Raw genomic sequence first — 23689 nt, 5'->3', positions numbered from 1 at the left:
TCACTGTAACTACTGTTAAGTGTAATGAAAACAGAAAATGGTTCACATTTTATAGGCCAGATTTACAACCACATTCTTAGGACACAAAATTTTCTTCTAGTAAATTAAGTGTATTCCAATGACTTAACATAGATAATATGCCCTCCTTCCCGTCACACAAAAATAGACCTTCACCCTCATCAGAATCCAGTCTGTCACTATGTATCTGCACAGACAGAAAACATAAACGTTGCAGACATTTTGGTTTTGAGTTACTGCCTGCTACTTCCCTGTGTTTCCGCTGCTGAATTCAAAATCTGTAATTATCATCAAGAATAAAAACCAAAACAAAGCCAAAATGAAAATAATTACTTGCAAGGAGTAGAGAGACTGGAAGAAGACAGCCTTAATCACTGAACTTTATGTCCAATTCATTAAGATGGAAAAACCCTTCCTAGTAAATGGCCAACAATTCCAGAAGGCAAGGATTACATCTGTATTCTTTAAGTAATTAACATAGTGCCTTAATCCAGTGGGGGGACCCAAATGCATTTCACTGAACAACTGAATGAATGAATATACAACTTCCCAATTATGTATAGTGCATCTATTGAGACCACTACCCAAACTTGTCCTTCCTGCTTCTTCAGGGTCTTTTCCTGTGACCTCATATAACAAACACCCCCAAGAGTTGAACAGATGTTCTCTTGGTACTGGATTCTGAAGGAGTTATGAAAGTCAATAAATAATTCAAGATGGCTAAAGGGTGGGTCATAAACCATCTCCATCAATTGGTGGTCCCTAATACAGGTGTGTATCAGAGTGAACTGGGTGGTGTTTCTAACTACCCAAGGACAGGTCTCTGGCCAGATTTATTGATTCAGAATCCCAAGTGATTCTGATGCAAATCTCTGGTTTAGAACTACTGTTTCAGGATTGTAGAGGTTGCCAGGGATGTGAGACTAGTAACTGGTATGTGTGCCAAAAGCTCTCCTGCACCCACGACAGACAGTGCTACCTGATCAGTACAGCCTTATTCTCTGAGCCTGCAGTCACTCAAAAGCCTTTATTGTTTTTATTGTGGTAAAATATACATGACATAAAATTTATTTTAACCATTTTTAGTGTACAATACTATGGCATTAAGTACATTACATTGTTAAGCAATGATCACCACCAGCCAGCTCCAGAATGTTTTCATCTTCCCCAGCTGAAACCTATTAAACACTAATTCTCCATTTCCTCTTTTCCCCCAGCCTCTGTCAACCAAAGTTCCACTTTCTGTCTCTATAAATTTGACTACGCTAGATACTTCATAGAAATGGAATCATACAGTATTTGCTTTTTTGTGACTGGCTTATGTCTCTGAATGTCTTCAAGGTTCATCTGTGTTGCAGCATGTGTCAGAATTTCCTTTTTATCCATTCATCCATTGCCGGACACTTGGGTTGTTTCCACCTTTTGGCTACTATGAATATATGCTATGAACATGAATATATGTATTAGTCCGTTCTCATGCTTCTATAAAGGACTGCCCGAGAGTGGGTAATTTATAAAGGAAAGAAGTTTAATTGACTTACAGTTCCACATGTCTGGGGAGGCCTCAGGAAACTTACAATCTTGGCAGAAGGGGAAGCAAACACATCCTTCTTCACATGATGGCAGGAAGGAGAGGTGCCAAGCAAAAGGGGGAAAAGCCCCTCATAAAACCATCAGATCTCACGAGCACTCACTCACTATCATAAGAACAGCAGCATGGGGGTAACTGCTCCCATGAGTCAATTACCTCCTGGCAGGTCCCTCTGACGACCTGTGGTGATTATGGGAACTAAGATTAATTCAAGATGAGATTTGGGTGGGGACACAGCCAAACCATATCATTATACAAATAGCTGTTTGAGTCCCTGCTTTCTTCTTTTAGGTATATATCCAGAAGTGGAAGTGCTGAATCACATAGCAATTCAATGCTTAATTTTTTGAAGAAGTTATACCATTTCCCACAGAGGCTGCAACCATTTCACACTTCCACCAGCAATGTACAGTTACAAGGGTTGCAATTTCTCCACCTCCTCACCAACACTTGTTATTTTCTGCTTTGATAGTAGCCATCCTCACAGGTGTGCCAGAATTCTTCTTGATGCAGCACTTCAAGCAGCCATTGTCAATCGATCAAAGTTGACAAATGAGATGAAAACCATCTGTTATTTCAAAAGTGTGATCATATTTCTCTAAACTGATTAAGAGAGCTCAACTTCTTTTCAATGGGAACTTATAACTGTAACTGTAGGATTTACCAGGTATTGATGGTCATGGTGATATTGGGGTTGTTCACATGGCTGATTGTAATGGGGGCAGTAACAAGGACACCAGGAGAAAGGACACGAGGGCTGCCAATATGCAGAATGAGTAGGCAGAGATGAGGCCTGAGAGGCACTGCATAAGGTAGCATCGAAGACAGTCCAGGCAAAACACCAAGTCCAGGAACCAGGCAGGACAAATGATGTCCCCACATCCTGACTTAAGTGGTAATGGGATTTTTTTTTTCCTTTTCCTTCCTCTGGTTTCCTTTCTCTGTCCTTTACTTCTCTATTGCCTGTGAATCCATGGTTTGAATGATTAAAGTTTTTGATATTTCCCCAAGTGCAGGGTTCCAAGCATGACTTGGAATACTATTAACACTGTGGTCCATGTGAATGACACTGCTTGGACTTGTGCAATGCACAACCTGTAGAGCAATATGGGCCAGGCATGCCTAGTGAAATCGAAAAGTAAAATGTCTATCAATATGGTAGTGGTTACACAAATTATAGAAGATCCATACAGCTTTTTTTTTTTAAAAAGAGAATAGCACTTTATATACTGATACAGAAAGATTGCCAAGATATTGTTAAATAAAAAAAAATAGAAAGCAATGGGTATTGCGTGCTACCATTTTTGTAAAAGAGGAGAAATTAAATATATGTACACTAAACATACAATATCTGCTTGTATGTAGATGAAATATTACTCAAAGTAGACACATTAAGTACAGACACATTAAGTACTCCCTTCTGTGGAACGGGAATTCGGTATTAGGAGATGAGATGGGAGACAAATTTATTTTTTATCTATAGTTTTATATATTTTTTATTAAATTTTCAACCATGGAAATGATGGAAATATGTTCTGGCTGGGCACGGTGGCTCATGCCTGTAATCCCAGCACTTTGGGAGGCCAAGGTGGTTGGATCACGAGGTCAGGAGTTCAAGACCAGCCTGGCCAAGATGGTGAAACACTGTCTCTACTAAAAATACAAAAATTAGCCAGGCGTGGTGGCATGCGCCTGTAATCCCAGCTGCCCAGGAGACTGAGGCAGAGAATGCTTGAACCCAGGAGGCAGAAGTTGCAGTGAGTTGAGATTGTGCCACTGCACTCCAGCCTGGGCAACAGAGCAAGACTCCGTCTTCAAAAAAAAAAAAAAAGTTCCATCATCTTTCCCATGTGCATTCCTGAGCTGTAGAAGGCTAGCAGCTTCTTCCCAGACTCCCTGCACCTGGGATGGAGAATAAGGTTCTACAAACTGGATGTGCGTTGAAGGGAGCTATGGAGTGGGAGGTGGGAGTGGGCGAATACCATCCTCCTGCCACTTTGGGCTGTGGTTGCTGGCAAGCAAGGCCACGGATGTTGATAGGCAATTGTGATGCAGGCCCAGTCACCAGCTTCCTGGGTGCTGCTATGAGGCCGCACCTCATAGAGAGATCGCCATTATATTTCCTGGGAGCTCCGTATCTCATGGAGATAACAGGTCCTTTTTGATTCTACTTGCTGATCCCTGGATTGCAGCTCTCATGCTGTTTACCTCAAGAGCTTCGCTCACAGCCCCCTAACTCCCTGTATTCCTGCTTACAGCACAGGCTGTAGCTCCCCAGGCAGGTCAGTGCTAGAAGTTGCTGGGGCATTCTGGAATTTGTTCTTGGACACCTACCAGGAGTGCACTCCTCTCACCCTTCCAACAGATTCTGTAAGCATTCAGTTTTCAGCATTATAGCCTTTTCTGCGTAAAAGACCTACACTGGTTTCTAGTTCCTTCAATAACCCTGACAGAATTACACATTAAAAGTTTAAATAGATATGATCCTTGTGTAGTGCATAAGTGTGATGACTGGGTTTTCCCACTCTTGTGAGGTGTGCCTCCTGCAAATCTTATGATGTCTGCATATGACTTGTTTGACATGGGAAATAAAATTTACATAAATATAAAAAGCGAAAGTCATCACTAAGAAAAAACTTAATTCTCAGAAAAGATTTCTTGGGCAGTGTACCACTATAGATACTTGGTTTTTTCAAAAAAATTCTTATTATCTTGGTAAATCATCAAATATTTAATGAACATCTACTGACTTAATAGATGAGATAATTTATTATAATAATTTATCTTATCATATTAGAAATAAACATCTATGTGAATGTGTGAGAGGTTTTGTGTGTGCACATATGTGTGTGTGTGTGTAAACAGACAGATACAAACCATGTTTCCAGTGAAATCTTAGGAGAAGACAAACTCAAATGTTTCCTTGTTCTGTTTTTATTTAACTCCAAATAGCTAATAACATAAAAACATTTTAAAAAAATCTCCAATACCCAACTATTACTTTTGGTTGACAACATTTGATTATTTAGTTCTTGCTTGTTTCCCACATGTAGTACAGAATCTATCATAATATTTTAAAAGTTTGCAGCAGGCTTAAAACCTGAATATTTAGATCCTAATCAAAAACCATGATGTAGTTATTAGTTTTGATTTTAAATACCTTGCTCCCACAGAACTTACTAAAACGAATAACCATAAATAGGCTAGCTATTAATTAGATCTCAATGAAATGCCCACATACAGCACATACATATAGGTAGTATATATGCTTTTATCCTTTACTACTCAAAGGATGATGTACAGTGGAGTTATATCATAAACACATTTAACTTACATTAACTCAACAAATGAGGTCAGTGAAAAGGAAGCCGTAAGGAAAATAACATGAAATCCTGTGGCGATCCCACCTAAAATGAATGCACACCCTTGAGTAAACCCAGGTGGGTGCTGTCCATCCGCTGGGTGGGCGCTTCACTCCTTGTCAGTTCACATCTGCCACTAGCGGGGCAAGCATCTTGCGGGCTGATTCTAGTGTTAAAAGTTATGTGCTTTTTTTTTTTTTTTTTTAACAAAATGGCCCCTAAACAAACACCAACAACTTCACTTGGTCTTCAAACAAAGAAACAGTCTTTTTTTCCAACATAGGAGGAAAAGCTACTTGTTGTGGATGTACAGGTTTCCAACATGGCACCCTTCTAAAGGGCTTTCAAGGATCATCCTAATAGCCCATTTTACCTATGTACTGACCTTGGAAGCTAACCCCTGAGTATGATGCAACTCCACTCTAATGTAAATTAAAATGCCATGATCTTAAAAATGCCATAATATTGTCAGTATAATTTAATTTCCAGTTTAGTTCCATCTTCACATTTAGCAGTGTGTGTCTGTGGCCGTCTCCTGGTGCCAGCATTTCAGAATGTACTATCACTGGCTGAGAAAATCTCACGGTGAGAAGAGTAGTGTGTCATAAGATCTGAACAAAAAAGCTACCAAAGTTGATCAGTCTCAGTATGATTCAGGATATGATTTTCAATTAGCAAATGGTGCGACTGAAGCAGAGAGTGGCTTTGTTTTGCTACACCCAGTGCTCCCAGGAATCTCCTGTGGCCTCCTTTTCATGGGTTTCTACGCTGGCAGCTACACTCTACTTCTTAAACACTTGGCCTTAGCCTGACCACCGCCCCGGTTCAGTTTCTATTTTTAAGAGCACCATTCTAATGGAAATGTCCCTGCCCTGAATTAAGCTGGGACTGTGCACTTTACCACTAGCTAGAGCTGTTATATATCATAGCGTTTAGGTTAAATTGGTAGGTATTGATTTCCTTGACTGTGACTTCGAAACTTGCTTCTGCTTCTTTTAGCCATGTAGGATTTCTACCTGGGCTGTAGATGAGGGTAAAATATCCCATGGAGGACTCCTTCAATAACCACATTTGGAAAATCTGAAAAAAAGAAAAAAAAAAAGAAAAAAAAAAGAAAAACTGCTTTTCTTATGTGAAACAAAATATAATTGCATTCTGTAGAATGGAACAAGGCAATGCTTACGGTAAACACAGGAATCTGCATCGCCAGGCATGTGCCTGGTTGAGGATGTGCTATCAGTCATGCTGCTTCAGCCTAAAGCCACTTGAGCACACCACCAGGCGCGGCAGGAATGTGCGGCCAGATTTGTAGCTTATTGATTTAAGGGATGTTCTAACAGTTAATGCTGCTAGGCCTCAGCTCTTTATCTGAATGTTTTCTCAAAAGGAAGATGGATTACACTGGCAATTCAATTTCTAACAAAATCTCAATATACTTGAAGGAATTCCAAGATTTCTACTGGGAATACCTCACTGCAGTTTTTCCATTGTGGTTTACAGTGCATTTAGTCCAAGTTGTCCTGAGTCTACTTGTTCCATTAGACTAGCTTCGAAAGAGAGCAGTAAGATGGGGGTCAGTCTTCCTAACTTAAAAGGGCAAATTTCCAACAGAAGCCATCCTGCCAAACTTGAAAACACAGCTCCATTATTATAGGAGACAGGAAGGGAGGCCAGGGGTGCAAAGTATGTTACAGCACATTCCAGTCATTACAGTAGGTAAAATGTGAATGGATTACTTGAATGGGAACCAATCTATCTCATGGTTCAGAAGTTTAATTTTTAAACTTTAATCTGTACATAATGATATCCAGGAACTATCCTAAAGCACTTTAAATAAATATCATTATTATGTAAGAAAATAAAAGTAGTCCAATATTTTAAGAAAAAAAATATGCATCTAGCCTCTATTGTCTACTGTGTAAATAAAATCATTTACTAGGGGATTGGGCCTCATCAGAGGAGGCAGAAAGGCTCTCAGAGGCTAGGGGTAGGCAGAGGGAGCTAGCCAGGTGGCAAGTCTGTGGCCAGAGGGAGCCTGGAGGGTTCAGAGACCTAAACGAAAGCCAACATAGTGAGAAAAGTGGGAATGAGGAGGCTGGAGGGCACGGGGTGCCCCATCACACCTGGGAAGAATGGATAGGAGTTTGGGCTTTATCTGAAACTCAATGGGAAGCTACTGAGGGAGTTTAAGCAGAGTGGGACAGAGTTGAACTGTGTTTTGAAAAAGATGATTCTGGCTGCCAGCTGGAGAATGGACTGGAGAAGTTCAAAGCAGACACAAGATCAGTTTGGAGACTACTGCAGTAGTTCGAGAGGGCAATGGTGGCAGCCCAAACGAGGTTGAGGATGGAGAACCATGGAGGAATTCTAGAGAAATGAAGGACGGGACCAAGTGACAGGTTAGATGTGGCTAGTGAGGGAAGGGGTGAAGTCAAGGATGCCTCCTGGGTTTCTGGCTTGCATAATCAGAGGGTGGTGGGAGAAGACCCAGAAGAGGAGTAAAATAGAAGATCATCAACTCTGTCTGGAACTTGTGTTTGAGGCACCCGTGAGACTTGCCAAAGGGGAAGTCAAGTAAGTGATAGAATGTGGTGACAAGTTTACCTCAACATATATTTATTGAGAGGCCTCTGTTTCCTGGATCGACCACTTAATACCTGTGTGACCTTAGGTGAGTTATTGAACATCTCTGTCTCTCTCTTTCCTCAACTGTGAAATGGATTTCATAATAGTATCTACCTTATAGGCTGTTTTAAAAATTGGGGAGACAAGCGAATGAACACACAAACTATATCTTAGAAAATCTCTAATACATGAATATCCAGTTATTTCTGGTTGATGACACTTGATTTTTTTAGTGCATGCCTTTCCCCAACATGAAGTAATGGTTTTTCATGAAATATATCTTTGAAAGCGTGTGATAGGCCTTACACATGTATATTTAGAGCCCAATAAAAAACAATAATTTAGCTAAGTTAATTTTAATTCTAAATGTATTTCTCCCACATAGAAGGATATTAAAATCAATTGCCATAAATAGAGCTGTTAATTTTCTAAAAGATACTCAAATAGGACATATTACATGACGGTGGCAGACATGCCTTTATTCTTTGCCACTCACAATATAGAAGTCGATTTGAAGGTCAGTGAAATTACATTGTAAGTATATTTAGCTTAAAAGGATTCAACTAAATAAGTTAAGCAAAAAAGACATAAAGGAAAATAACATTACATACTATGGGTAACTCTACTGCGCTGGTAACATGTTAAGCAGTGACAAGAACAGGGCAAGGAGAAAAATACAGCAGGGCATGGGCTGGAGAGGGCCCAGAGACAGGGAAGTGAGGGAAGAATTTGAGTGATGGTGCCATTTGGGTGATGACTTGCAGGAAGGAACAAAGCAGCCCGCTGGGAGGGTGTCCGGGAGAAGGGCATTCCTGGCAGAGGGAACAGCAAGTGCTGAGGCTCTGTATGTATGTCCACCAAGAGCTGAACATATGCTAGATGCTGGGGATTTAGAGGACAAAGCCAAAGAACAAAGATAAGATAGTCTGTGACCATTACTATGAAGGAAGCAAATAGGGTTCTCTGACAAAAAGTGAATGGGATGGAGGTGTTTTAAAGCAAGGTCCACCAACTAGCGATCAGAAATAACATAATCAGGGTTTTGGGTTGTTTTCTCATCCGTTCCACTCTACTTTAAACTGTGGATTTTGGCTTCATCATATGCATGATTTACTACAATGTCCATTATTGCCAGCATTACTCAGTAAACTGTCCTTGACTTTGATTCTCATTGAGAGGTGATGAGAAGGAAGGTGATTTAGGGCAGGTTTTGCTGTTATTTTTGTTGGTTTTTGCTTATTTAATGAACATGTATTGTGAATGGGTAGAGGGGCTCGTGGAGAGGGAGAATCAGCACAGGCTCTCTGAAGCCGTGGCATTCAATGTGAGCCCTGGAAGATGAGAGGCAGCCGGCTATGGATGGAGAAAACAAGGCTCACGGTGGAGGAAACAGCACATCTGAGGCCCAGAAAGAATTCCAGGGTGGCTAGGGCAAAGTGTATGAGGAGGTCCAGTAGGAACATGAGCCTGGGGCAGGCCACAGAGGGCCTTGCAAACAAACCACAGGTAAGAGTCTGGAGCTCCCAGGACAGAGTTGAGATGGAGATACAATATTGTGACTCAGGTGTATACACGTGGTAGGCAGGCCACACACAAGGAGATTATCTGAAAGGAAGTGTAGTGAGAAGAGGAGAGGGTCTATGACAGCATTCTGGTCAGCTGCTAGAGAGTGGAAGGAAGTGGGAAAGCCAAGGGGAGACACTGTTTGAAGGAGGAGAAACAGATCAACATGTCTAAAGTCCATGAGAGGCCAAGGAAGATGAGGACTGAAAAATATCCATGGGCTTCAGCCACACTGAAATCACTGGGGACTTTGGCAAGAGTTGTTTTGAGTTTCCCAGGAAAATCAAAACAAAGACCAAAAGGCAAATGCTTTTCAATCTGTTAAGAGAGTACTCTCCTGATTTCTAATGTTAAAAGCTAAGGGATATTTGATTATTAGTATTTTATAAGAGGATAATGCTTAAATGTCAGATCTTTGAAGACAGACACTCCTCTGACTTTGTAGGGGGCGGGGTCAGTACATCTGTGAAGAAATTTCCATACGCAATATCCTCTGGAATAATAACCTTAATATCTTGCTAAGAGGCATCATAACAAAAATGTGATGCAAGTAAAGTTTCTCTTTAAATTAAATGCTAAAGATTTGCAAGAATATATCATTAGTATAACACTTCTAAGATCACAAGAATCTGATTCGTGAAACTGGATTGGTCAAAATTCCAAGAAAACAGATCTGGTGACTGGTCCTTCCATACCTCCCATCCCATCCATCAAACCTGTGATCCATTTATTCTCAAACAGGAGTTCCCTTATTTTGCAAGTCTTCATCCATATTACCATGCTACCAATGATACATACGTTTTACTCTTTCCAATTCAAGACATTTACCCCTGATGTTTCTTCCCAGAAAGTTCCTCCTGTTCTTCACTGTCCAAGCCAGGCATAGAGCACATGGTAGGCACTGCTCAATAAGCTGTATGAATTGGATTTAAAGGTCATAAAATATCTTCCCTCTTCTATCAAGTATCTTGGCTATTCTAGTCCACAGTAACCATTTCACTGTCTACACTTCTGCAGGAATTTCAGTCAGATGCATGACATATCTGAGCATAAACAATACATGGAAAAAGTGCTTGTGGAGCCATTTTTCAAAGATAATAAGAATAATTTATAAAACTATCTATTTAATCTATATTAGATTGCATTATGAATATTTGTTAAATATGATATTTTAACATGACATCAACTAACATGTATATTTGTTAAACATAAGAAGCAAACGTTACAGAGAGAAAGTTATTCTTCACTGCGAGGATCTTATAGGAAAAAGAATATGAGGTCATATTCCTATACAGCAAAGGCAGCTCACTCTGATCGGGGTGCTACTAGGAAGGGTCCCTCAACCCTTCCTAGGGAGGAGCAGGGCTGCGTCCTGGCCACCCTTCTTCAAACTGACAGCTAAGTGGGTGATGTGAGTACGTGTATCCTTGCTATAGAGAGCAGTTCCCTTTCTCCTGCTCATAAGGTTTTATTGTCAGAAACAGGGAGGGTTTCAATGGATTATTTATCTATTACTATTTAGTGACTCCCAGAAACAAGATTCACTATATGCAAAGAGCACAGAAGGAATACATAGGCAACAAGAGGTCCACCCATCAACCATCTGAGAGTGGACAAGTCAGGGACTTCCCTGGACCCCAATTTTCTCATTCAGTCAATGATAATATCTGCCCTGCTTAGTTCACAAGGTTGTTAAGGAAATTAAATGAGATAATGTATGCAAATGAGCTCATAAAGAGATGCATAACAGAACACTTTGAGAGGGACTCTGATGAATTTAAATTTCTTTGCACAGAGAAAAGACTCAGTCGAAAATATTGATTACAATTATACTTAGATCAATTAATTGTATTTAAAATATGCAACTTTTAAAAATATATAGTTTGCCATCAAAGATGCTGCAATGTATATACACATAGTTTCGGGGAAGAGGCTTTTTTTTGAGACGGAGTCTCGCTCTGTCGCCCAGGCTGGAGTGCAGTGGCGCGATCTCGGCTCACTGCAAGCTCCGCCTCCCGGGTTCACGCCATTCTCCTGCCTCAGCTTCCCGAGTAGCTGGGATTATAGGCGCCGGCCACCACGCCCGGCTAATTTTTTGTATTTTTAGTAGAGACGGGGTTTCACCGTGTTAGCCAGGATGGTTTCCATCTCCTGACCTCATGATCCACCCGCCTTGGCCTCCCAAAGTGCTGGGATTTTAAAAATGCCTGGCCGGGAAGAGGCATTTTTAAAAAGGACTAGAGCCTTGAATTTGAACCTTGGCATCTGGACAAAAACAAGCAGAGGCCAAAATGACATGATCAGAAAAATTAAGGACCATAAATACCATTCTTCCTTATTACTCTAATTCAAAATAGTCTGGTAAGAGAGAAAGAAAAATTACATTTCCTCCTGAAAGGCCAGCCCCAATTAAAATTCTAAGTGTCGCTTATACCAAGAGCACTGGTTTATTGGCAGATTATTAAGCCCGGGACCAATGTCACTCTGTTAGACCTGTATTAAAAACGTGGTTTATGTGGTGCAGGGTCAGATCAGTAAAGAGCTGTTAGCAGATGACAGGTTTGATTACCGCTGGCTGCAGGCAAGACATATGGATCCCTGAGGAACAGCAGCACAGGCTGGTGGGACAGTTTGCTGGAAAGGTCAAGAACAGGCATGTCAGCATCAGGGGACGATGGTAAACAGAAAACACTACAAACTAGCTTTGAGGGGATCAAACTGCTGTGCGGGGACGTCTCAAGGTTTATGTTCTAACAGTGTGGGTGAATAATAGCACGCAGAGTAAGAGTGAACAAATGGGCACTGCTCTCATCTTCTAAACATTTCTTTGTGGAATTTGAAGCAAATATACAATCTATACAATAAATCATTGCTGAAACGTGATTTCCTAAAAATCTTGTAATACGATTGTTGATAAAACATTCTGATTACTTGCATGAAACAATGTAGGGCTCTTATTCCTCCACTCTTAATTCTAACTGGTTACTCCTGTAATTCCCTATCAAATATTTATAATCTTAAAACCAATTTCCAAACAAAGGTTCTTAAGAAAAACATAACTTGAAACACATCGTAGGTGATTAAACATTTAGCAAAACCATAATCCTATTCCTGGCTGATGAGGATTAGTCCTTACCTTGACTCTTCAGACTCTGTTTCATCAAAAGATCTAAAAGTTTTGAAAAAGGAAAAAAACAAAAAAACCACATATGTTGAGTCAATGTTTATGCCAACAAAGGAAAAAATACCCAATATTATTAGATGACTGAATTGGTAGTTATTTTTTAAAAGAGCTGTGAGTTTCCACTGAGCCACAGCATGGCTATGCCCCATTCTAAGGAATCTGAAGACTGGAATATTCTTTGATTTCTCTTAAGATTACTTAAAAATCCTCAGGTTTTATTACTACTTTTGGGCTTGTATAATGGAGAAAACATTTCGCTCACTGCCATTGCTAATGTCTATTCTAAAAAATACATAAACATATATGAAGCCTAACCTGCCCGTAAATACATACAAGTTGGAACAGAACACACTGACAACACAGTATTTGCCAAGTGTATAATTTTTGTTATGCAATAAGTGGAAAGTGGCTCTGAGTAAACAGTGCTCATGAGGAGCTGTGACAGGTGTTTGCAGCCCCATCATCCAGCAGATGGCTGGGGTTTAACATGACTTTGGGTGTGGCCTGCTTGATTTTCTTGTAGTTAAGTGTGGTTCCTTCAGGCAGCAAGAAAATGGGTAAACCTCTCTCCTGCATGGATTTTCAGAGAGTTTGTGATGATTTTTTCCCCTGTAAATGGATACAGTATGCCATGGATGTTCCTGAAGGCCTTCTGAGGCTAGCTCAGCCCATGTCATGTGCTGTTGCTGGGCCAGTGGCTTATTTCAGAGTTAATTCTTCGGGAGAGCTTTTCCTAATTGCTGATGATATCAAACCTCTGGGTCCTTGGGTTAGGACCAATGGGTTTAGACCAATAGATAGGGATTAGGATTTGTAGTCCTGCCACTGGAAGTTCCTGAGAGAGGCAGCTGGACAGTAGAGGAAGAGGGCTTGCCTTGGAAGGCCTCGGTTCTGCAAGCTACAAGGCAAGAGATCTTGGGAAAGTCATTAAATTCCTGTGTCTCTGTTTGCTCAACTACAAAATGAGAGGAGTTGCATCAAATCATCTCTAAGATCATTCATAACTTTAAAATTATATGAATGTGTACCACCAGGATATGAATTTTGTTCGAGTTTCCACTAATAAATGAGCCCATAACAAGTTAATTAGATTCATAATTCCCATCAAGTAACATCATTCTATGTAACAGTGTAATTGAAAAGATTGATTCCTTGAGTCTAAACATGGGTTACCGAACCATGGCCATTTGGCCGCAAGATGGGCATAAGGACTCAGAGGAATTCTTTTAACCAAAAGCAGGGGGCGAGCGAGTGCTGCAGCAAGCCAAAAGAGTGGGCGTGGCCGGCAGGCTACTCGGGCATCACTCTGGGCTATTTGTTAGATCAATTGGTCATTGAAGAGTAATTTAAAATACACATCCAATATGCAAACATGATTCTTACCCACAACTTTCTGCCTTTGGTAGAGAGGGCAAGTGTCGCACATTTAGGAAATCAAGAAACAGTTTGGGAAGTTCTTCATTTTCTAAAATGACAGCCTGTGAAAGCAGAAAACAGAATTCGAAACTGAAGTGAAGTTTGCTAGGTGATCAATCAAATGAACTATTTCAAAAAGTCATAACCGTCCATCAAAGTTCTTACCAGCAACATTCCTCACAGTCAAGATGAGGAGTGGTCTCTGTTTTGCCCACCAGGAATTCGGGCTGACACACATGCTAGGGATTGCCGGCAAATCCTGCAGTTTATCTGTTCTTTCATTCAACTGGCATTTATAGAGCACCTACTATACACTAGATGCTGACTAGGGGACAAGACAGTGGGGAGCCAGGTAGAAATGGTTCTTGCCTTCATGGAGATTCTAATCCAGAGTGAATATTTCAAAACCTGGCAACATCAATAATACTGTTAAGATATGTATATCAAATTTTCTTTACTGAGTGATAAAGTGGTCTGATATACATTATGTATACATGTGTGTGTGTGTGTGTGTGTGTATCTCCCCACAGGAGACCACTACTATTTAGGAAATATGATAAATTATTTTTTAACTGGAAGATTTAGTCAAGAACCCTCAACTATCACCTGTTTTGGCATTAGAATCAACTGACATTTATTGCCATTTGGACAGCTCCACTTAAAGGGTCAGTAACAACTTTACTGCTAAGTGTAAATCAGTGTACATGCTGAAAAAAAAATCTATAGAGTTCTTCCATTTAGTGAGCTCTGCTACATAGCTGGCATGATGGCATAACCATGTCAGTAATCAGAGATCCAGATTATGCAATGTCAAGGAGAAATCTGACAAAGAAGTATGTATCTTCTTATCTATGTATTTTTAAAGTCTACCAGAGTGTGTGAACTGAATATAAGTTTGCCACCTCCCCCTCCCCCTCCCCCTCTTCTAAAAGACCACAGGAGAAAAGCATCAAAGGTTTTATCATAATCTCTGACTTCAATACAACTATTCTTAAGGGTCATTTTTCATAACTTATCATGGGTAAATTTTGTCCAGTAAGTACATGTTGTTTAAAGAACTATGAGAATCAGTGGTGAAATATCACTCACACAACTGATCAGGAATACTGTGTAAGGGTGGTGCATAAGATACATAACAAGTAACAAAAGTGAGGTGAAATTATGTACCTTGTAGATACATAGTTCTATATCACATCTTGTTCTTAGCCATGGTTCACATACTGAGTGGCCCCAATTCCTCATCAGGTTTTGTAATACTGTTACCCAGTTCAGGTCATACAAATGAAGTGGGTAACTATACAGGTTGCCAGTCCTCCTAGGCTGCCCTCTGTCCCACACTAGAGCAGAACCCTCCTGGTGTTCAGTCCCTGGAGAGGGGTCATCTAAAGAGCCACTTCCACTGGGGGCTGCTACGGTTCTTTACACAGCTCACCATTCCCATGGAAGCTTAAGGAATAAAAGATAGAAGAAAAAATTGGGGTGTTATACTTTATTCACTAAATAATAATTTCCTGGGCATCTATTATGTTAGGCACTGGGACATGATGATAAATCTTACAGGTCCAGTGGAGCATGGGCTGAAGAAAGCTAGCAATGAACAAGTAAACACACACACTAAACAACAACTTAAACTTGCCTTAGAATATAGTGAGATAGAATCGAAATAGCGTATCACTCTCTAAGCGTTTTCCCATCTACCAATGCATTCATCCGTCCATCCCTCTGTCCCTCTCTCCATCCATGTGTGTGTATGTGTTTACTTTCTCCTGGTTATAAAAATAGAAAAATAAAAAGTTCAGAAAATAAAAAGAAAAAAAAAACCTCCTTTATCCAGAGGCATAATTTCATTACTATTTCAATTAAATTTCCTTAAATCATTTCACTTTCATCTCAGTTTTTACCTATTCAAGGACATTTTTTAGGTGCCCAGAGGTCATTATTTCAGTGCCTGTAACTCAAAAAGTTCTAGGCGTCATCACACATATAAAACTCCGAGGTATTTTGGCTATGACACATGTTTCAATGATTGTTTTTTTTTCTAGATATCTGTTTAAGAGGATGATACAATACTTATTTGAATAATAAAGCCTAATTTGTAACACATGCAGACTTGTTACCCCAGGCAATAGTTTTAATTATCTGTACAAGTGGTTGCTTTCAGATTTAAAAAAAGAGGGGAGGGTATAACATTCTTATCTCCACCCCCACCTTCTTAAAATAAATTAAATCAATAACAAGTGTGGGACACTTTTAATGACCTGAACTACTTAATTTCCAGGATCTTTAGACGTGTCATCCATCACCGCAGTATGGAGGAAGACATCTCTTGAGTGTTCAGGGGGTTACTTAGGTTTATTAATGCAAGATTTAGGGAATTTTAACAAGGTGAATTGTTTATTTGCCTTGACAGATCGGCTTACAATGCACTGGCTACATCTACGGCATGATCATTAATGACAAAAGACAGGAAAAAAGCTATTTACACTGCAACACAGGGACGGGAATTAATCCTGCTCAGCTTCCCCAAACAGAGTTCTCCAAACAGATGATCACATTGCTTTACGTAAGATATACTGGCAAAAGCACTACAGAAAACTCCAGAAATTTGCATGAATTTACTTTGCTAAATTTTCACCGAATATTCTCAAATAATATTTTCCATAAAACAATGACCAATATGTACTTTGGGATTTATAGTTTTAGAGAAGGCAGCATTGAGAGTTAGTTAAGCATTTAGTTATGTGGGCAGGAATATTTCCTAAGCTCTGTTTTAAAAGCTTGGGAGAAAAGAACTAATACTTCAGAGACAAAGTAAAATACAGAAGAATTTACCTAATGTAATATATTATGTACAAATGACTGTCATCAACTGGTACAGAGATACAAAAGAGGAATTAAATCTTTTTGTTCATACACACATGATCATATTCATGAGAAACTGAACAGTAAGGCTGGACCTCACAACTGTTCCATTTACAACTTCTTCAGTTTCTTGAAAGGCTTTTGCTCTGAAGGAACCACCCCTTCTTGAAGCTGTACCCTGGGTCATCCTATAGAATAAATGTCAGTTGGGTTTAAATCTCTCAACTTTGCTCAACAATAAGCTCCTAAGTTTTAAAAAATCAAATTTTTGAATATCAAATCCTATCTCCCTATTGTTTTAGATTGCTTATCTTTATTTTTTATTAATATCCAATGGTTAATCGCTTTCATTCTTTAGAGAGGCAGTGTGGAGTAGGAAGTATGTGGGCTTTCAGGAAGACCTGAGTTTGAATCCTTTCTCTTTCTATCTTAAAATTAGGTTATTGTGAGGATTAAATGTCTCCAAGAATCTCTGATACACAATCAGCGATGGATAGATGCTAATTCTCTTTTCTTTGAGTATTGTTGTTGTATTAATTTCCAACAACCTATTTTATCCATTTTGAAGTTTGGATAATTGTTCATCGAGCAAACAGAGCTTCTTGGCCCTCTATATTTCAGGGATATTTTTGAGTATCAGATAAAAGCTGAGTATCCTGCTTGCTGGAAAACATACATACATCTATAATTGTGCTTTCAGTGGCAGGGGGTTTGCAGACCCCTGACAGCCCAGCCAAGAACACCTGCTTTTAGCTTAGACAGGGCAATAGCACTCACTGCTGGGCTCACTTTTCTTTGGCCTGGAGCCTGATGCACTGTGGCCGGTGCTGTGTGCCAGCTCCCCAAAGGACACGCTGGCCTTCTTGTTTCAGTTTTCTATCTCTTTGTCAATTAGAATCCCACTGGAGGGTATGCTGCCTTGCTATTAGAATTCATTAATGCCTTCAGCTCTGGGCTGAGTTGAAAACGTTTGGCATTGAGGCTACTGTGGTAAAGGATTCTTTCTAATACACCAAAATCTATTGCTGCACCGATTCTAGAGAGTAATTCATATTCATGATTTCCATGTCTTCTATATATTATTCTAAAATGCAGCAGTCAGTGGTGTGGAGGGCTCCCAAAATTAACAAAACATTAAGGAAAGTATGATTTTCCACTCTATCGTTGCTGGGTTAGAGTACAGCTGATGAAGTACTACCATGCTGCCCCTGTTATAAGAGGGGCATTCTGAACTGCAGGGTAGCGATGGGATCAGGCCCAGTGCTATCTACTTAATTACCCAGTGACTCTGGTGGTGAAGTTCTGATGCTGCTCATCCCATTCCTGGATGCAAGTTGGCACACATGGCCTGTCAACTAATTTATGCAGTAAAACATCAAGAATTCAAAATTAATATGACAAGTTTGGACAAAAAGCTAGAAATAAATCCCAATAAATTTTACAGGTATACACACAGAGTGAAATACTGTGAGAGGCAGAATTAATTACCCAGATGCAAGACAGAGAGTAGCTGTTTATGTGCGAGAATCATGGGTCTCAAATTGTAGGTCTGCAAGAAGTGTTCCTTCCACATGGTGTCAAATGCGCTGAACAGTTCTCTCACCCCACTTAAGGCAATATTATCAAGCACCCCCTGCCACCACAAAAGAGAAATAAGAATAAACCTAGGAAGAGCTAGAGGCAAGCAATGAAAATAACTAAAAGATTTCAAAATAGTTTCCATAAAAACAAGTCATCCAATAATGGGTACCAAGAATGGAACCAGGCAGTGGAAAGTCAAGGGGATAATGATCTTTTAAGTTAACTAACTGTTCTGTTAAGGAGGGTGGCCACTGGTTATCCAGCATTTTCAAAGCTGCTGGAAGAAGAAGAAAGTACTGTCAAAACTAGCAAGGAAGGAGTCATTTTCTAATTGAAGCGTGTGCAATAAAAGTAGTAAAAGTGACATAGTATGAAAAGAATAGGCACTGAAGAGCATCAAAATATCCTGGACTCTTTAATTGACTTGCAGATTGGAGATGGTATAGAATTAACAGAGAAATGCACTAAAGAAATTTCCATCCAATCTGTCATTTAGGAATATAGGCAGACAAAAATCAGGTTATTATTATGGTGCACGTAGGAAATGGGGTTAAATGAAAGAACTGTTACAGGTGTGTGACAGGCTATTTGACTCACTTCGATATTACTACATCCAACTCTGATAAACAGTAAAACTGGGCAATAGAGTGTATTTTGTAAAAAACAAAAAAAAATTATTTTTCTTTACACAATGTTACTCACTCTTGTAAGAATAAATGACTTTCTCTAAAGCAGACCAGATATTTCTTCAGAAATATCACTTTAAATGAAGAATTTTTAAAAATGTAAACTCTATGAAAGCATTTATAAAAAACTTCCTGCATGGGGCAGAAAAACAACAGCATTACCACCAACAGCCCCTGTAAGCTCAATGTTTACTTCAGAAGAAATGCTCTTTTTATTGAAAAGGTACAATTATCATCATGTAACACAAATCACAAAATCCCAATTTTTCTACCTTATCAGCTTTATAAAATCATGTTCCCAAAGGATACCATTGATTAGTTGCACATGTTCTTTCTGTGACATCCCAAATACTTAATTGTCAGTTATCTTTTCTTCTTCAGTAAGTAAAATGTAGTCACAAAATTACAGAGGGACTTGTTCTGCCCTAACCTTCGTGAGATGCCATCATGCAGTGGAAAACACTGGTAAAATATCACAGGATAACGCCGTCCGACAAGGGAGACATATAAACACTGTAATGATTTCCCACGAGTTTCCATTTTAGAAAATTGTCACTAAGGCGAGCATAAACGGTGACACATCTCCACTGAGAACACAGTGAAATCGAACGCTGGCATTCTAGTTAGGTCCAAACCTACCCAGCAGCCAATTATAACAGGAATGGAACATCTTGTTGAAAACTTGGACAAGACCACTTTGCTAACCTTCTAAGATCATAGCACAGGGCTGTGTTGTTTTCACTGATTTGATCCTTTTATTCCCTTTTCAAAACACATACACACACACACATACACACACACACACTTCTTTCCATTGTCTATCAGGGTTGTTATAAACTGTAGAGAACCTCTTTGTCACAAAAGCTAAGGTACTGAATTAAGTCAAGAGGTTTACAAGAGCACTTTAAGCTCTTTCTCCATTCCATCTAGTTTGGTTTGAAATGTCCGGCTGCTGGGGTGACAAAGTTCACCACTGAAGCTTTTCTTCTCTTCACCAGGAAAGATGCTTCATACCATATCTACTTCAGAGATACGGCTAAAAACAAGGAGGGAGAAAAATCAATACCTCCTCACTGCAGTAAATGGGCTGCAGTGTCACTGTCCTCTGGGACCCAAACCTAAGAGCTCACAGAGGCTTTGTAGTCCTCAGTCTTCTACTTACCACTTCCCTGCACCTGGTCAAAATTTCACAAAATGAGCCATAATCAGGTTAGCAAAGGAACACTTTTAAAAAGGCAGCCAGTAGGCCGGGCATGGTGGCTCACGCCTATAATCCCAGCACTTTGGGAGGCTGAGGCGGGCAGATCACCAGGTCAAGAGATCGAGACCATACCTGCTATCACAGTGAAACCCCGTATCTATTAAAAAATACAAAAAAATTAGCCAGGCGTGGTGGCAGGCGCCTGTAGTCCCAGCTACTGGGGAGGCTGAGGCAGGAGAATGGCATGAACCCGGGAGGCAGAGCTTGCAGTGAGCCGAGATCGCGCCACTGCACCCCAGCCTGGGCAACAGAGCAAGACTCTGTCTCAAAAAAAAAAAAAAAAAAAGGCAGCCACTAAACAGATTTAAGAAGGATCCTGACCACCTGAAAAATAAAAATCAGATGTGCTCTGAAGAACCCATTGTACCATGCATCCCCCTTTTTGTGTGTGACACCATTTGCAAGATGTGTCTAGCCTGTGCCTTGGTAAAAACTGCACTACTCAAGGAATTCAAATGGATATCTGCTATGGTTTCACAGGGCTTTATAGAGTATCTTGCAAGAAATCTGAGGACCTGCACTAAACGCTGAATGCCGAAAAGGGCCCATTTAAAATAATAATGAATCTGTGCAAAGAAATAATATAATTTGGCTTAAGAAGATTTGAAAAAAAAAAAAAGGAATACATTTCTGATAATGTGGCTAAAAGGAAAAACTAACCAGGGAACAAAAGAAATTGGAAAATCAATAGTCTTTGGAGCTATTTTAATATCAAAGCTTACATTCTGTGTTTTTCTGGAATCCAATCATATAGAAGTATTTGTTTAGCACCTACTAACTACAAGCATTATGCTGGGGACACAATGGTTAGCCCAACAAATATAGTCCTGTCCTCCCAGGGTTTACCATTGGGTAGGAAAGATGAATGCTGATTCACAGCAATGAATGTGAAATTACAAACTGAATTAGTACCTTAAAGGGGAGTAGCTAGTTTCCTTGATCATTAGTAACAAAGCACCCCTATTAACCTGTAGGGTGAAGGAAAGCTTCCCTGGGGAAGTGACCCTTGAGCTGGGAGTTGAATTAGCTAATGAGAATAATGTGAGTAGGATATTCCAGCTTGTTCAAAGGCCTGTGGAAAGTAGAAGCATGACATTAAAAAAACCCTTAAGGAAGGTCACAGAAAATAATAAAGCTAAGCAATGGGGGCACCTAACCTGGAGAGGTTAGGAAGGGCTTCTGGATCATGTGAAGGATTTTTTTCTTTTCTCTGTAGACTTGGGAGTCATTGAGTGATCTTATGTGGGTGGGTGGTAGATGGGGTATCTCACTGTACATGACACAATCTGATTTGTATTTTGACTACAACTACAACATATGTAGTAGTGTTCATCAGATCCAGGGACCACGCATTAAATCCTCTCTTTGGCTATCTCTAAACTGCTTCTTAACTAACTCATTGAGCTAATTTTAATGACTATATGTTTCATTTCATATTAGGTGTCTCTAGCTTCAAAACTACTGTTCGAATTATGTATCATTTCAGCGTCATTCATTCATTCATTCCCCAAATATTTACTGACATTTACTGCATGCATAATAGCACTATGCTACATAGTTTAATTCTTTTCTTATTTAATTTTATTGGAATATTTTATCTTTCCCAATATTTTTCTATTATATTTATAAACTTAATTTATTCCACAGATATATTTAAGGGAGCCATTGAAATTGGTTCAATTAAAACACATTCTTGATTTTCCTTGGATTTTATCTTAACATCTCAACTAATTCTTACAAATATATAAAGACTTTCAGACTAAGAAAGGCAACACATTCCATTAATCTTTCTATTAAAACAACAACAACAACAACAACAAAACGACTGGGTGCAGGGGCTCACACCTATAATCCCAGAACTTTGGGAGGCCAAGGCGGGTGGATCACTTGAGGGCAGGAGTTCTGGACCAGCCTGGCCAACATGGAGAAGCCCCATCTCTACTAAAAATACAAAAAATTAGCTGGGTGAGGTGGCACGTGCCTGTGATCCCAACTACTCGGGAGGCTGAGGCACAAGAATCACTTGAAACTGGGAGGCAGAGGTTGCAGTAAGCCAAGATGGCATCAATGCACTCCAGCCTGGGCGACAGAGCGAGACTCTGTCTCAAAAAATGGAACAAAACTAAACAAAACAAAAAACAAAAGGATCTGGACTCATAACATTTCAAAACCTGTTTGACAACTTCTGAACAGCTCAATTCTTTTCAGCAAATAACTGGGTACAATTACTTTAAAGTCACATATTATACATATTTGATCCACTTAAATTACCTGTGTATTGAATAAAAATGCACTTCAATTACACATAATAGATAATGCCAGGATTTAAGAGGCATTTTCTGGATGATGGAAAAAAAAAATCCAAATAAATTTTAAAAACAATCATAGGCTGGGCACGGTGGCTCACACCTGTAATCCCAGCACTTTGGGAGGCTGCAGTGGGTGGATCACTTGAGGTCAGGAGCTTGAGACCAGCCTGGTCAACATGGTGAAACTCTGTCTCTACCAAAAATACAAAAATTAGTCGGGTGTGGTGGTGGGCACCTGTAATCCTAGCTACATGGAAGGCCGAGACAGGAGAATTGCTTGAACTTAGGAGGCAGAGGCTGCAGTAAGCCAAGATAGGGCCACTGCACTCCAGACAACAGAATGAGACTCTGTCTCAACAATAAATACATAAATATATACATACATACATACAATTATAAACTAGCTACGTACCTGTAAGAGAAACCTAAGATCAGGAGACTACGGTATTTAATATTAGTGTTTTACAACAAGCGAACCAAAACAGATTTAATAATTCAAATAATATGGTAAGGCATTTAGTTAAATACAAACAATAGAATGGAAATGCTGTTTTACTACTTTATAGAAGAAACAGTAATCAGAACTAGGCTTATAAAATGTTCCCTACAGACAGCCTTAGGAGACTGGTTTTTAATAAAAGATTTACAATTAGCACAGCCCATATGTGTTGATGAATTGATGTTTTTAAAGTGTTTACGGTGCTTTAAAGCAATTTGCTCTCTCAGGCCCCTTAAACATTCCCCCAACTACCTAGTTTATTCAGCATTCTCTTTCTTTACATACTGTACACTTTGACCCAGCTCCAGCACAGCTGGATTTCAAGTGGTATAGTCTAGATAGATGAGGACTTTCTAGGTATATATATTCTTACTGTACTATAGTTTAGACATAGTATACTAGGCTAACATCATTTTTTTAAATGAAGACTTCCAACACCATTTTATATTTGTTCGGTTATAACAATATATTTAGTCACCTGTTTAAATGCTACAGTAATGTAATTGATGCTTTACATGAATTTAGGAACCCTCAATGAGCAAACTTCAAAGTGCACAGTACTTAGTGGGAAAATAGTGGGAAATGGTTAGAGAGTGTGACAACAGACTTATAAGATGTGTAGCTAGTCCTCAGAGAAACAATGTATGAAAAGTGGCCCTTGTGGAGATGGCTCATAGGCTATAAAATAAAAAACATATCTATAAAGAAAGTTAGGAGGAGGGGCTTGGCCTC

The 23689-nt window shown here is 39.6% G+C and overlaps 1 protein-coding gene and 1 non-coding gene across 11 annotated transcripts in view; one reads left to right on the top strand and one right to left on the bottom strand.

Annotated features, from left to right (window-relative positions):
- Positions 1–23689, bottom strand: part of SNX24 (sorting nexin 24) — a 183706-nt gene that overhangs the window by 15586 nt on the left and 144431 nt on the right. For 2 of the 10 annotated variants that reach the window (XM_011543349.4, XM_005271972.6), the window contains 5 exons: positions 13727–13821; positions 12296–12328; positions 11729–11793; positions 5988–6051; positions 1027–2731 (listed from right to left, as the gene is read on the bottom strand). The exons of 1 other annotated variant lie outside the window; for it this stretch is intronic. In XM_011543349.4, the coding sequence (XP_011541651.1) occupies positions 2596–2731; positions 5988–6051; positions 11729–11793; positions 12296–12328; positions 13727–13821 (393 nt within the window). In that variant the 3' untranslated portion in view covers positions 1027–2595. Of the gene's footprint in view, positions 1–1026; positions 2732–4527; positions 6052–11728; positions 11794–12295; positions 12329–13726; positions 13822–15395; positions 15526–23689 lie in introns of those variants that run through there. 7 more of the 10 variants (XM_011543350.4, XM_006714592.5, NR_146145.2 and 4 more) reach the window with 6 other exon arrangements.
- LOC124901213 (small nucleolar RNA U13) lies at positions 4093–4191 on the top strand. The gene has a single exon (XR_007059177.1). It is a non-coding gene; the product is annotated as a small nucleolar RNA U13 (small nucleolar RNA).

Source organism: Homo sapiens, chromosome 5, assembly GCF_000001405.40.
Source record: "Homo sapiens chromosome 5, GRCh38.p14 Primary Assembly".
NCBI lineage: Eukaryota > Metazoa > Chordata > Mammalia > Primates > Hominidae > Homo > Homo sapiens.
Note: the sequence above shows the minus strand (reverse complement) of the source record. Positions and strands in the feature narration are given on the sequence as shown.